At 44.6% G+C, this 15,784-nt stretch overlaps 2 annotated features.

Moving 5' to 3' along the window:
- Positions 6,821-7,680: an enhancer, noted in NCBI's record as "NANOG hESC enhancer chr2:136850708-136851567 (GRCh37/hg19 assembly coordinates)". NCBI's record gives its function as "activates a minimal SCP1, AML or CMV promoter by ChIP-STARR-seq in primed H9 embryonic stem cells {active_cell/tissue: H9 hESC(primed)}" and the evidence as "EXISTENCE:reporter gene assay evidence [ECO:0000049][PMID:30033119]".
- Positions 11,729-11,930: a silencer, noted in NCBI's record as "fragment chr2:136846458-136846659 (GRCh37/hg19 assembly coordinates)". NCBI's record gives its function as "represses an EF-1alpha promoter that drives an FKBP-Casp9 reporter gene in an ReSE screen in K562 erythroleukemia cells {active_cell/tissue: K562}" and the evidence as "EXISTENCE:reporter gene assay evidence [ECO:0000049][PMID:32094911]".

The raw sequence follows: 15,784 nt of genomic DNA, 5'->3' as shown, positions 1-15,784 counted from the left end.
TACAAAACAGACACATAAAATGACTTAATTCATCCAAGTTTACTTACCAAAGTTTTACTGTTCCAATGTCACCTCAAACCCAATGTCCAAAACAAAAGGGGTCCCCATAAACCAAATCTGGGTCCAAACCACTTTCTCCCACCCACCACACCATCTTGTCTCCTCATATTTTACTTGTGGGATCTGGATGTCACCTGAGGCACTTCCTTCTCCTTCATCCCTGTGTTCAGCGTGTTGCTGAGTGACCCTGGCAGGAAGAACTTGCTGGCAGGTCCCCGTCACCTTCCACCTCATCCTGCACCCCTGCTATAGGGACCGGGCCACACCCACATCTCCATCCAGAAGAACTGTAGCTTACAGGAACAAAGACAATTGAACCTTGTTTACTCACTGTATTTCACAAGTGCAGCCACTGGGTTTAAACCTTGTCCCTTTTATGAAAGTTTCCTATACTACTCTGGCCACCTTCTCCCCAAATTCTTAAAACCAGTAGTCCATACTAGGCAATTTTTTCTGAACCACTGTCTTACTCTTTAATTGGCTACAATTTCCTAAATGGTGAAATAAGAGATATGTAGCACAACTGATCTTCAAACAGTATCTTATGTGGATACCTAACATGGAAAATATAAAATAATAATTGTTCTAATTAAACAAGGAGTAGCAGACCCGGAAAATCTCTCCTGTGCCCTCTACTTCCTGGCCACCTCTGAGGCACCCCATCTGAAGGACATAAGAAGCCTAACCTGAGAATCACTAGACATGGAAGCCTCTAGGATCTCTTCCAGCCCTAACATTCTATGGTCTTTAATTTCTTAAATGTCACTTGGTTTCATCCTTTCCTCTAAATTCTCACTACAACACAGTTCAGGTCTTTTTCACCTCCAGCCTGCAAGATTGCAAATTGGTTTCCTTATACCCCAAGTACTCTACGTGGAATAGTGTCTCCCCAAAAACCCGTGTCCACCCAGAACCTTAGCCTGAACTTATTTAGAAATAGGGTCTTTGAAAATGTAATTAGTTAAGATGAGGTCATACCTGAGTAATGCAGGTCATAAATCCAATATGACAGGTATCCTTTTAAGAAGAGGAGACCCAGAGAAAGAAGGGACACATAGGGGAACACCATGTGACAGCAGGCAGAGATGGGAGTCATGCTGCCACGGCCATGGAACCCCAGGGATTGCCAACAAGCACCAGGAGCTAAAAGAGGTAAGGAAGAATCCCCCTAGAGACCTCAGAGGGAGCACGGCCCTGCTGACACTTCTATTTCAGACTTGTGACTCCCAGAACTGTGGGAGAATAAATTTCTGTTGTTTTAAGGTCTCTAGTTTATGGGAATTTTCTATGGCAGTCGTAGGAAATTTATCCATCCAACTAAAATCCATTCTACACATTTCTCCCAGATTTATTTTTCTTAACCTCTGCTCTCATCTTGTTCTTCTACGACTTATTTCATTTCAGGAAGTACTAGTTTTATTGAGCAACTACTATGTGGTAGGCACCCTATTGAAGCTGGGTGTATGAAGGTGAACAACAGCAACATGGCCCCACTTTCCTAACAGCTTCCAGTCTAGGAGGGAAGACAGGTATTAAACGAACACAGGCCGGGCTCAGTGGCTCATGCCTGTAATCTCAACACTTTGGGAGGTTGAGGCAGGAGGACTGCTTGAGATCCTGGGTCCAAGACCAGCCTGGTAACATAATGAGACCCCATCTCTGAAAAAATTATCTGGGCATGGTGGCTCATGCCTGTAGTCCCAGCTACTCAGGAGGCTGAGGTGGGAGAATTGCTTGAGTCCAGGAGGTCAAGGCAGCAATGAGCCATGATTGCACCACTGCATTCCAGCCTGGGAGACAGAGTAAGACCCCTGCCTAAAAAACAAAAAAACAAAAACAAAAAAAAACAACAACAACAAAACACACACACACACACACACACACACAAACACATAAACAGAGCCTCCATTTAACATTGAATTATAAATTGCGGTGTATTATAAATGAAAAGAATAGGTTGTTATGAAACACAATTGGAGACCTGAGGAAGAGGGAGTTAGGCTGATGCCTGAAAGAGAAATAGGAGCTGAACTGACAAAGCATGAGGGAATAGACATGGAGACGCAGAAACAGCACGTGAGCAGAGGCCTGGGGTGGGAAAGGGCCTGGCCCGTTTGAGGAACTAAAATGGAAAGAAGGCCATTGTGGCTGAGGCCTGGTGAGCAAGGGGAAAGTGACACACAGTAAGGCTGGGGAAGAAAGCAAAGGCCAGATCATAGAGGATCAAGTTCAGGACACTTGGGACTTTGTCTTAATGAAATGAGAAGGCATTGAGAGGTTTCCAACAGGAACACAACATGATGCATTTAAGTTTTAAAGTTGTCTTTGGCTGCACTTAGTTGAAGGGTCATATGGGGACAAAAATAAAATGAGGTGACCAGTTAGGAGGTAATGTAGTAGCTGCACACAAATTTGGATTGTGGATGGATCTCAATTATACTTTTTAGGTAATACTAGTAGGACATGCTGATACACTGGATCTGAAGAAGAATAGGGTGGGTATTCACTGCTTTCTGGCTTGAGAAATTAGGTGGATGGAGATGAAATTTATGAGGTGGGGAAGACTGGGTATGATAGTTAGGGGCATAGCCTAAGCTCCTGTTCAGAACGGTCCCAAAGCATAGTGGCTCAAAGAAGATGGAAACATTTCTCTCTCACATAATCAGCCACAGGTAGAGAGTCCAGGGCTGGGAAGGCAGCTCTGGCATCATAAGTGCAAGGTTTCTGTCTTTAGATCTAAGTTAGCTGTGTTAGGCTTCAGCCCTTACAACTGTGTCCCAGCCAGGAGGGAAAGGACAATTTTAGGGCCACAATCTGAAAGTGGCCTGCATCCCTTCTGTTGACATCTCATCGTTCAGAGCCTAGCCACAAGATCACACCTAACTGAAATGGAGGCATGAAGTGAAGCCTCTGGTTGAGCAGCTATACACCAAACTAAAATTGAGGAGTCCTTTTACTAAAGGAAGAAACGTAGAAAGGATGTTGGTGGGCAACCGGCAGCCTCAGCCTAACTAGAGTGGGGTCATTATGTAAGTGGGAATAATAAACATGTGAGTGGGAGGTTCCTGGGGATATCTTAGTGAAGATGTGAAGTAGGCAGATGAAAATGTGAGTCTAAGGAGCTCCAGGGGTAGGATGAGGCCAGAGATAGTTGTTTGAGAGTTATCACCATGCAGATGACATTTAAAGGGATCGAGATTAAATCAAGTACAGTAGATAGAGAACAGGGCCAAGGACTGAACCCTGAGTGCTTCTAACTCTTAGAGGCTGAGTGGAGGAGGATGAACTTGCAAAGGGGACTGAGAAGACAGTGAAGCTCAAGAAAATCCAAAAATGTAGGGTCTATGGAAGCCAAGAGCAGACAGCATTTCCAGAAGGATGGCTCATTGTATACAATATTATAATATGCTGAGACACTAAGACAAGGATCAGACACTGATAATGTGTCTCCATTGCCTGTCTTTTTCTACTTTACATCAAAGTCTTTTGAAAAAAAAAAAAGAGAGAGAGAAAGACACAGACTCGACCAAACTCAGTGGCTCATGTCTGTAATCCCAGCACTTTGGGAGGCCGAGGTAGGCAGATCACGAGGTCAGGAGTTCAAGACCAGCCTAGCCAATATGGTGAAACCCCATCTCTACTAAAAATACAAAAATTAGCCAGGCGTGGTGCTGCACATCCGCAGTCCCAGCTACTCCGGAGGCTGAGGCAGGAGAACCGCTTGAACCCAGGTGGCACAGGTTGCAGTGAGCCGAGATTGTACCAGTGCACTCCAGCCTGGGAGACAGAGAGAGACTTTGTCTCAAAAAATAATAATAAATTAAATTAAATTAAATAAACAGACTGTCACTCTGTTGCCCAGCCTGGAGTGCAGTGGTGCCATCATAGCTCACTGCAGCCTCGACCTCCTGGCTCAAGTGATCCTCCCACCTGAGCCTCCCAAGTAGCTGGAATTACAGGGGTGAGCCACTGTGCCCAGCTCCATCAAAGTCTTTGGAATCTGTTTTTAGCCTGTCTATGCAAACATTTTTCTCTCTACTTCCCATTCTAAAAACATATCCACATTCTCAGTCCCTAAACATATCAACTGGTTCCCATCTTTCATCAGACTCTTCCTTCAACCTGAATTGATATTTCTCCCCATTATCTAGTTACCCAAGTTTTCTCCATTCTTCAAAGCTCCTCACTCATGAAGTCATCTTTGACCCTTACAGCCCAGAGTTGAATGCTAAATTGCTTTCTCGCTGCATTTTATGTATTATTCTTACTCTCTAACTCCTAAGGGTGGAGACCACATGACATATATTCCATGTTCCCAATAAGCTAATAGAGTTAGCCAGGTACCCAAGTTAAAGGGTACCCAGTATTTACCAGCTAAGGTGCAAACAGAATACTTTCTAGATACAATAATTGGGAATAGATGCTTAGCATTTTAGGTGTAGATGGACCTTTGAGATTATGTGATTCAAATCTCCAACATATCCATGAAAAGTCTAAAGTCAAAGAAACAAGAAAATGTTTTCTCTGTATTTAAAACAGACTGCAAGTTAATATTCAATCACCATCCTCATCAATGAGTGCCACTGAAACACTGTGCTCCACTAACTTCACTTTTCACTCAACATCCCTTTGCTTCAGTTCCTTCTATAGTTCCCCATTAGGCACCTGCTACATGTCAGACTCTGATTATGAACAAGGTGAAGTCCTGCCCTTGGAATCTCTATATATACCAAAGCTGGAGTCTGCATTGATTTCCCCCTTCCAGGTATCTAGCTATGTGCCACTTTCCCATGGAACCCTAAATTATATGCACAGAAATAAAATAAAGCCCCATCTTGACTTAGTTAATAAAAACAATTTCACCTGCATGAACTGACTTTTACCTGCCTCACCACAACCCCTCAACTCATATGCTGAAAAGTATGCTAAATTTAGTGTAAACCTTATTGAGTAAATAAAAATATTTAACTCTTTGGAGTCATTCAGCTCTTCTGTAATTTAAATGCCCCTTTATGAATCCTATTGAGATAGATCAATCATCTTATAAGCCATATGATGACTTATAAGCAAATGTTTGCTATGAACCAGGGATGGTCTTAATCAGGTTTTAATCCTCTCAGTATTTGTTTTCAGCACTGTGGAAGAACCATTGCTCTTGTGTGCAACACAGAGAGGAAAGAGAACTTATTAAACTCTAGAAAGGTACCAAGGAAGGATCAAGAAATCTCCTTTCATGATAATCCTTATGAACACTTTAAGAAGCTGTTTAACAACTGTAAGATACCAGCTTACACTGACCCAGCTGTGCAGTTCACAGGAAATACGGGGCTAACAGAGTGCAAACTCTCAAACCCCCTTACATCTGGACTTTTGGGACCCTCTGCTCTGCAGAGTAGCCTCACTGGTGAGGAGTCTGTGAGATCACAAGAAAATGCTCACACAGAACCTGTGCCTCAGGTACTCTAGACTGTGCTCTCAGTACCCAGGACCTCATGAATCCATGCCCTAACAGCCCTAAACCCATGGTCTGGGCCTCAGAGGCCTCTTCCCTGGGTCACCTTCCTGAGGGCAGTACATATCACATGGATGCACATTCAGCCCTTACAACTGTGTCCCAGCCAGGAGGGAAAGGACAATTTTAGGGCCACAATCTGAAAGTGGTCTGCATCCCTTCTGTTGACATCTCATAGTTCAGATGCACATTCTTAGGCCCAACGACAGCCAAGGCACAGCTATTTGGGATGGGGAGAAAAATGGAACTTGAATGTGCCAGCTGGAGTGTCCCCAGGTCTAAGGAAGAAGAACCCCCCTGAAATGTGGAATGGAGCTGGAAGCAGAAAGAAAAGAGTGGGCTATAGCCTCCCTTTGCACTTTTGCCGAAAGGTGAGGGGTAAGACAGTTCAAGTCCTAGTACAAGGAACTGCATTCTGAGAACACCTTATGCCCCACGGCTACATGACTCTCCATGACAGAGTCTCCTAGGGGTTGCCCCAGCAGGGGACAGTCATGGCAGGGAGTCTGCTCAGGAAAGGGCAACTGGAGACCCATCTGCTTTGCCACCTCTTCATCAGTGGACGTGGAAAGGAGTCTGTCTGCCACGGAAGCATTTGGGATGTGGGTTTTGGTTAGGGCTCAAGGTTACACACTGGCCTTCATATCTGCCTATCCCTGCCCAATAAGCCCAAGTCCAACTTGCAGGAATGGGTTTTGCATGGTAGAATGTTTCTTGTAGGTTTCATTGTTTTCTTAAAATTTTTTACAAATACAAGGTTTAGAATTTAAATTGTGTCTAAAACTCTACTTCAAAGTGAATTTAAATTTTGGCCAAGATGCCTATTCTTTTATACTTAGGGTAGCATTTGATCTTCTAACTCTTAAAGGAAGCCCTTTAATTGCTCCAGCAAAATAATAATAATAATAATTTCATAATCGTAATAATTATGTTATTATTATCTGAAAATGGTGGCCTATTTTCCCTTTGTTCTTTCCCGTCCCCCACTACATACTTCTTCCTTCTTTCCTTTCCTTTCCTTTCCTGACTACATAAAAGTGGGTAGTGTGCACAAGCTAATGAGTTGCCCCAGCACTTAAGGATCTTAATCCCAAATCATAAACACCCTAAGAAGGACCTCAGCTGTCATCCATAAATTTTTATTTAAAAGCAAGATATAAGTGGCATTAATTTAGCACAGAGCTAGTGCAGTGAGTAGGGGGGCAGAAATTAAGTGTCAATTCAAAATAATTCTGCATATCCCTACCTTTCCTCAGCACATAACTTCTGCATATGTTGAATAGGTCATGTCATAGTTAATGCTTCTTCCTTGCAGGAATGCTTGTATAACCCCCCTGAAATCCAGTTATTGCAGATGATTGGGAAATGGAGACACAGAGGCGACTCCCTCCTTTCTCTAATTGGAATGGCTAATTCAGCCATAACAGCAGTTCCCTCCAGATGCTCAGATTTGGTTCAGAGTATGGAAATCTGTAGTGAGGGGATTTACCAGGATGCTGAACAAAGAAAGCCATCATTATCTGTGTTCAGGAAAAAGTATTCTAATTAGTGTTAATATCCTCCTGCTGAGCTTCCTGTCATCCACGTTTTGATCCCTGTCCTTGGGTTTTCCAGGATCCGATATCCTGGCTACCTGCAGACAAGGGTCAGGGCACTGACATGGACAAACGTGACATGGACAAACGTGACATGGACAAATGGCTGGGGGTACAGTCCAGAGGAAAAGAGTTCACTTCAAAACGCTCCCTGTATCGACTCTCTGGATGAGATCTTTATAAAAATTGGCTCAGCAAGTGCAAGTCTAATGCACTCAATTTATAAACCTATAATAACAGGTAGTAATTGAATAAAAGCATGAGAAGTATATGTGGAACATGGTCTTCAAATATTTGAAACGCTGTTAAGCCTCATCTGCAAATGAATCCAAAACACTTGGATACCCATTAAGGTCTGAGAGTTCTCAACAATAAAATTAGACTCCAGAGGAGATCAGGCACAAGACAGTGCTTAATAAATCCCTTTTGACGATGTCAGTGACAGGAAGAGGTGCAGGTGGCCTTGAGCTGGATTCCTTTCTTTTCACTCACCCACTGAAATCAGTGCCCTCATGGGCTGATTTGAAACACAACGCTAAAGACAAAACCAAGGAAGACAAACTTGATGCACAAGTCCCATGCGGAAAGAAGAGAAAAGAAAGATCCTAGCAAGTCATAAATTTCCAACAGAGCCAGCACACATAGTCTTTTAAAAACTGAGGGATTTAACGGACCCAGCTGAAGCCCTCCATATGAGGTTTTTTGAGAAATGGGCACCCTGCCATCCACATATTTCATGTCACATATGACATGTGGGGCTCATGGTCAGAGCCAGGCTGGAGGAGAAGCCAGGTCGGCAGTTGTCCAGGAGGGGTAATCTGAGGAGTGAAAGGGAAGGTTCTCTCTACCTCCTCATCTTCCTCCTAAAGTAAAAATGACTACAGCACTCTGTTACAACACCAAAACTGTCTGAAATGTCTGTGCTAGAAAGTCATTCATCCCTCTGACTTAATTTTTTTTCTCAGCCTTAGACGTGAAGAGCAACAGATATGAATAATACAAAAGCCTTCTGGGAAAATCAAGGTCCATCTCTTGATTCCAACTGATGTTTAGATGCTGTGGTCCCTGACCATAAAGGCAAAAGGAAACCTATCCTGTGTTTGGCCATTTTATGACAAAACTCCAACCTGAGTCCAAATACACTCATTTCTCATGCTGTACTTTTTTTTTAAATGAAGCTGTGTTAAGAAAACATTGATTTTGTATATTGTTCCTTACAAAACCTAGAGATTAGCTCACTAATGATGGCTGGTGAGAAATAAGAGAAAGATTTCATTAGGTGTACATCTGATTAGAAAAGAGTATTTTTCACTTTTATTATTAACGAGTGAATAAATAGAATTCTGATTTTCAAGTGCAAATCTTGCCTCCATCATTTTCTGTGTAATTTTTCTGCCCATTTGGATCTAAGATTAAGAAGCAAACATGAATAAATAAAGGAAACATTAAAGGTAAATACTGAGAAGCCAAGATAAATATCTGAGGTAAGAGCAGGGGAAGGAAGAGAAAGGAAATCTTAGAAATAAAGCTTTGCTGTTGCTGTTGTTGTTGATGATGATACTGACGTTGGTGGTGGTGGTGGTGGTGTTTTTGATGCAGAAAATCCAAGCAAACCAAAGGTTTCCCTTGCATAACTGCACATGATGAAAAGGCATTGGAGTGGGGGAAAGAGGAGACTAAGAATTGAGGTAGAAGACAGGAAATATAACAATATCTCCACAAATGTAAAGTCCTTTATTTTCACATGCCAGGCTTCAGTAAGTGCTAATTTATAATGAAAGGAATTAAGGAAAGTATACAAACAGCAAAGGGCACCTTAGCCAATCAATATATGTGATAGCTTCTTCTCAAGCTCTTTGCTTAGCTAGTCTCACTGTAAGTAAAATTAATGAAATCCATTCACTGTTTCATTCAAGAAATATTTTTTTGAGACCCCACTATGTGGCAAGAACCATTCTAGCCTGTAGGAATTTAAAGGTGAGTCAGACAGGCAAGATCTCCTCCTATCCTCATAAAACTTACATACTGAAAAGAGAGATAGGAAATACACCAAGAAGCCAAAAAAGACAATTTCTGTGTTAGGAAAAACATAGAACAATACTATAAATGACAGTGACTGGGCAAGCTGTTTACAGTTGGATGATATGTAATCAATAATTCATCCATCTTTCAGCAAATACATATTCAGTGCTTAACTGGTTTTTTTGGGTTTGTTTTGTTTTTGGTTTTGTTTTTAGAGACAGGGTCTTGCTCTGTCACTCAGGCTGGAGTGCAGTGGTACAATCATAGCTCACTGCAGCCTCAATCTCCTGGGCTCAAGTGATTCTCTCACTTCAGCCTCCCAAGTAGCTGGGACTACAGGCATGTGCCACCACACCCCGCTAATTTTTTTAGTAGAGACAGAGTCTGGCTATGTTGTCCAGGCTGGTCTTGAACTCCTGGCCTTAAGTAATCCTCATGCCTCAGTCTCCCAAAGTGCTGGGACTACAGGCATAAGCCACTACGCCCATCCCAAACTTAGTGGCTTAAATAATAGCACAACAAACTACCCCAAACTTAGTGGCTTACAACAATAATTTCTTTTCTTTGTAATTCTTTGAATGGCCTTTTGGGTTGGGCCCAGCTGGACAGTTCTTCTGGATTCAGCTACACTGATGCATCTGTGGTCAGCTACTGGTCATCTAAGCAGCTACTCTTTTGCAGATTGGCTGACTGTCAGTTAGGACAATGAGGGTCACTAGGCCCTTGTGTCTCCCACCCTTCATCAAACCAACCCAAGCTTGTTCCCATGGAGCCTCCACGAGGTCCAAGTAGGAGAGCAGAAGTGTTCAAGGCCTCTTGAAATCTAGGCCCAGAACTGATGCTGTGTAGCTTCTGCCATATAGTATGGCCAAAGCAAATCACAGGGGCAGGAGCTGAAAGTCGTATTGCAAAGGGGGAGCACAGACGGAGGGAAAGAATTCTTGGGGCTTTTGCAATCTAAATAGGTGTCTAAAGGTAAGGCAGGCACTGAGAATATAGTGGTGAGCAAAACAGACATGACCCCTGTCTTCTTGAAGCTTACGGTCTATTATCTGACAGAGCACCTACTGGGGGAAATGCCTGCCTGCAGCTCCAAGAGAATGAATGCAGAACAGTTGTTTACCTGTGGGACATAAATGTTGATTTCATTAATTGGCACTTGGCACCTGAGACAGGGGATTCTGCCTGCTCAACATGGGACCTATTAACACGCCTTATTGTGAATAGAACTAATTACTAAAATTGGATTCTAACCAAGCCACCCTCAGTGGCTTCTCTGCAGTGTGCCAATCCTATTGAGCAAGGGACAGCCACAGTTCTGTCGAATCCTATTTTCTTTGAAGACAAAGTCATTTGTGCATTTGTTCATTGCCTCAGATTCCCAATTGCATCTGGTACCCCTGGACCGGAATTATTTGTCCAGAAGGTGACCTTCACTGCTGTGGCTTTCTCCGGAAAAACGGCTTCCAACAAACATGCGGCACGCCGAAGGGCCAGGAGGCCCGGCCAAGGCCTGTTGGTCGTCCACCTCCCAGATGTCAGAGCCCAGAGACAGAAGGTGATTGTCTCCAAATGGCCTCATCCTCCAGCACTGCAGGAGAGCAGCCATGTGGTAGACATGACAGACCCCCACCCTGCCAAGGCCATGCAGAGCTTGCCATGGGCCAAAACTTGGAAGAGAAACTTGCCAAATTCTGGCAGAAACCCTGAGTGAAGCTTTTCATGTGCTTTGTCTCAATTTGTCTTCCTGGAAAATGGGTTGTTACCACTTTTTTCTTATTCCCAGATTATGCAGAACAAATGTCCCTACACATCTGTCCTCATTGGTGCTATCGGTCAACTGTCATGATGCACCACAGAAGACTTATAAGAATACCAGGCCCTGTTCTCAAGGCACCTGTTGGCCTGCAGGTGTGTACAATGGAGCTTCTTAAGGTCTGGGACTGCCATTAGAAAATGGTTTTATGAGTGTCACACAGAAAGAGCAGGCTCTAAAAAAAAAAAGGCTAGATGTTGCTAACGATGATGTTAATGCTTTCTGTAACTTAGAAGGAAAGATCCTCTCTGAACTGAAGGAGTTAGTGTTGCCTTTGTCATTCTTTTATGCCAAAATTCTCCACCCAGCAGGTTAAAAGCTTTGGAAGAGCTTCACTATACAGATATTACTCCTTCAAAACTGGAGGAAAGGAAGGTTTTGTGTGAGGAAATGGAATTCCCATGGCTGAGTAAGGTTTTATCCATCCCGTGAGAGAAACAGAAGAAACGAAGGTAGGCAGGCTGTTGTCTGTCCTGGCTCCTCCCCTTGCACCCTACTCGAAACACATCCCATGGTCCCCACCTCCACACCCTTGTTTGTGCTGTTCCCTCCACCTGGAATGGACTTTCTTTCTGCATAGCCAGATTCTAACTCTACTATAAAACTGAGCTGAGGCTCACGCCTGTAATCCCAACACTTTGGGAGGCCGAGGCGGGTGGATTGCGAGGTCAGGAGATCGAGACCATCCTGGCGAACACGGTGAAACCCAGTCTCTACTAAAAATACAAAAAAAAAAAAAAAAAAAAAAAACAGCCGGGTGTGGTGGCGAGTGCCTGTAGTCCCAGCTACTCGGGAGGCTGAGGCAGGAGAATGGCGTGAACCCGGGAGGCGGAGCTTTCAGCAATCCGAGATCGCGCCACTGCACTCCAGCCTGGGCGACAGAGCGAGACTCTGTCTCAAAAAAAAAAAAAACTAGCTGGATGTGGTGGCGCGTGCCTGTAATCCCAGCTATTCAGGTGGCTGAGACAGGAGAATGCCTTGAACGTGGGAGACCAAGGTTGCAGTGAACTGAGATGGCGCCACTGTACTTCAGCCTGGGCAACAGAGTGAGACTCCGTCTCATAAAAAAAAAAAAAAAAAAAAAAAAAAAACTGAGCTGAACAGAACCCTTTTCCATGAAGCCTTACCTGAAAGATCCTCACGAAGCCTAAGCTGGCCATTTTCCCTGGCAGTCATCACTCTCCAGAAGTTCCATAGTATGCATCTCAAATTTCTGGTACCATTTTGAGAGGTGACAGCATGCTGACAGCCCTGGCAGCCCTTGCTCACTCTCGGCGCCTCCTCTGCCTGGGCTCACATTTTGGCGGCGCTGTAGGAGACCTTTAGCCCGCCGCTGCACTGTGGGAGCCCCTTCCTGGGCTGGCCGAGGCCGGAGCCGGCTCCCTCAGCCTGCGGGGAGGTGTGGAGGGAGAGGCGCGGGCGGGAGCAGGGGTTGTGCGCGGCGCTTGCGCGCCAGCGCGAGTTCCAGGTGGGCGTGAGCTCGGCGGGCTCCGCACCCCGAGCGGCCAGCCGGCCCTGCCGGCCCGGGAAGTGAGGGGCTTAGCACCTGGGCCAGCAGCTGCTGTGCTAGACTTCTCGCGGGGCCTTAGCTGCCTTCCAGCGAGGCAGGGCTTGGGACCTGCCGCCCACCGTGCCTGAGCCTCCCGGCCGCGTGGGCTCCTGCGGGGCGGAGCCTCCCCGACGAGCACCGCCCCCTGCTCCACGGGTGCCCAGTCCCATCGACCTCCCAAGGGCTGAGGAGTGTGGGCGCACGGCGCAGGACTGGCAGGCAGCTCCACCTACAGTCCCCCGTGGGGGATCCACTGGGTGAAGCCAGCTGGGCTCCTGAGTCTGGCGGGGACTTGGAGAACCTTTATGTCTAGCCAAGGGATTGTAAATACAGCAATCAGCACTCTGTATCTAGCTCAAGGTTTGTAAACACACCAATCAGCACCCTGTGTCTAGCTCAGGGTTTGTGAATGCACCAATCAGCACTCTGTATCTAGCTAATCTAGTGGGGATGTGAAGAACTTTTGTGTCTAGCTCAGGGATTATAAATGCACCAATCAGCACCCTGTCAAAACGGGCCAATCAGCTCTCTGTAAAACAGACCAATCGGCTCTCTATAAAATGGACCAATCAGCAGGATGTGGGTGGGGCCAGATAAGAGAATAAAAGCAGACTGCCCCGCGCCCTCAGTGATAACCCGCTGGGGTCTCCTTCTAATCTCTGGGAGCTTTGTTATTTTGCTCTTTGGGTCCGTGCTGCCTTTATGAGCTGTAACACCACGAGAGTTTGCAGCTTCTCTCTTGCGGCCAGCGAGACCACGAACCCACTGGGAAGAACGAACAACTCCAGACGCACCGCCTTAAGAGCTGTAATACTCACCGGGAAGGTGTGTAGCTTCACTTCTAAAGCCGGGAGATCACGAACCCACCACAAGGAAGAAACTTCAAACACATCCGAACATCAGAAGGAACAAACCCTGGACACACTGCCTTTAAGAAGTGTAACACTCACCGCGAGGGTCAGTGGCTTTATTCTTGAAGTCAGTGAGACCAAGCGCCCACCAATTATGGACACAATTTCACTTTGTTTTTTCCCCACAGTGCCAGATGCACAACAGGTCTCAGTACATATTTGTTGAAAATGAATAAATGAAAGAGATGGAAGAGAGGAGGAAAGAACAGAGGGGAAGAGAAAGTGAGTGAGAATGAACCAAATATTCTCTATAGGAACCCTAGAAGAGAGCCAGAGCCACCCTGAAAGAATGGTCAGGAGAAGCACCCGATCTGCCTGTTTTTAGGAAACCAGCCGGCTCCATCTCTGGTTTCCATGCCTTTCTGAGCGCACAGATCTAACCAGGTTTCAAATCCAGCCACTCAAGGAGAAGCTGCAGCCTTTCCCCTTAGTTCTGAAATGTGTAGTGACCCAGGATCTGCAACCAGTGAGGGATGCCACTGACACAAGAATCTACCAGGGACAGCTGCAAACTGAACATCAACACTACCAGCCCCACAAGTGCCCCAGTCTAACTCCAGACAGTACAGGGGCTTGCTCATTTTAACATAGCAAGTCCTCAGTGGGAGCACAGTTTCCTCTGGGTGATCAAACGTGACAATTTCAGGTCACTCTCAGAGCTGAAGCAGGAAGAGGGTAGGAGGGGACACTGCAATGTGGAAGCTGAGAATCTCCCACAGAGCCCCATTTTATTCCAGCATCAGCTTTTTTGCCCTTCCCTTGAGCCATAACACACCTCAGAATAGCTAAGAGAAGGGAGAAGTGGCAGTCACACTGAAGACACAAGAGGATTGTCATCTAACTGGCTCCAGGCCTCGCTGCTCTGCTAATCGTTAAATCAAGGCCCCTCCACAACCCCTTCCTGCCATCTGTAGGTTAAGTCCATAGGCCTCTGATAGCATTTCTCAGGTGCCAACAGCCCAACAGCCTTCTATATGCCTTCTCAATATGTGATTTTCTCAACAATCACCATCTGCTTTAGTAGAGGCAACCAGTGGTGTTTTTATTTTACAGATGGGGAGCTGAGAGGTTAAATGTCTGATCCAAGATCACAAGCAAGTAAGTGGGATCTGGTGTACCCTCAGGATGCTGTCTCTGAAACCCTGTGTCCTGTGAATTTCTCTCCCCAGACACCCCCTTCCACTTCCTGCGCTCCCCTACCGTGCTGCAAGCACCCCCATGGCAGATTTTCAGCCTTCAGTCGGTCTCTTAGGCCAGACCCTGCATTATCCTGTGATCCCCAGCTCATGGCACAGTGTCTGACTCATACAAGGTGTTCAATAAATATTTGTTGAATAAATTGAACTAAACCCGAGACTTCTGACTCTAAACTCATAGTACTGGAATCTGTTTCAGCCAAGTCACTGGCTGCAAGAAGTATTCTATATTTACTGAAGATTACTTAGAAAACAATGACAAATATTTTAAAAATGTAAAGAGGCAAATCTCATGATGCAGAGATAATTACAAGCTACATTTTGAGATATTTCCTCCAGCTTTTCTCCCATGAATATATGTTCTATAGACTGAGATTATAAATGATTTAACATTGGACTCTAAACATCTTTCCTCATCATTTTTTTTTTAAATCCTCATTTCCAATGATACTGGGAATTTGTATTTCAATATTCAAATACATTCCAACATTATAATATTCAAACATGTGTAAGTATCCTAATTTATTCAGCCTTTCTTACTGTTGTTTCTGACTTATCATTTATAAATCTAAGACTAACATAGTTGTGGATGAATCTCTGTTCAAATTTCTGACTATTTCTGTAGGATAAAGTTCTACAAGTGAAATTATTTTGAGTCTTTTACACATTATTGTTAAATTGCTTTCCTGAAAGAATATAGTCTGAATTTTTTTTTTTTTAATGACAGGCGATTAGGAATATAATACTGAGAGGAAGTTTAAGAATTATCTACCAAAAACCAAATCACTTTATGGATGGGGAAACTAAGGCCCAAGAATGGTTTGGAAAAAGTCACACTGACATTGGGTTAACATATTTAAGAAGAAATAAAAAAAGATTAAGAGGAATTGACATTCTTAAGATATAAGTAGAGTCACAAAATACCAGAGAAATTAGTTTAAAACACGGGCCATGCTCATCTGGCCAAGGGCAAAAAGCACATTCAATGAAGCTCTCTGTTTCTAACTGTACAGTCCTCCTCTTCCCAATAACTTGGGTCCTCGTCTGTCTCTGACTGACTCTCAAGGGAGTCAGCTACAGTCATATCCCCACCTTGACTCCTGGCCAGATTATCAGTCCGCAA

Source organism: Homo sapiens, chromosome 2 (assembly GCF_000001405.40).
Source record: "Homo sapiens chromosome 2, GRCh38.p14 Primary Assembly".
Lineage (NCBI taxonomy): Eukaryota > Metazoa > Chordata > Mammalia > Primates > Hominidae > Homo > Homo sapiens.
The sequence above is the reverse complement of the archived record's forward strand: the minus strand, read 5'-3'. Positions and strand labels throughout refer to the sequence as shown.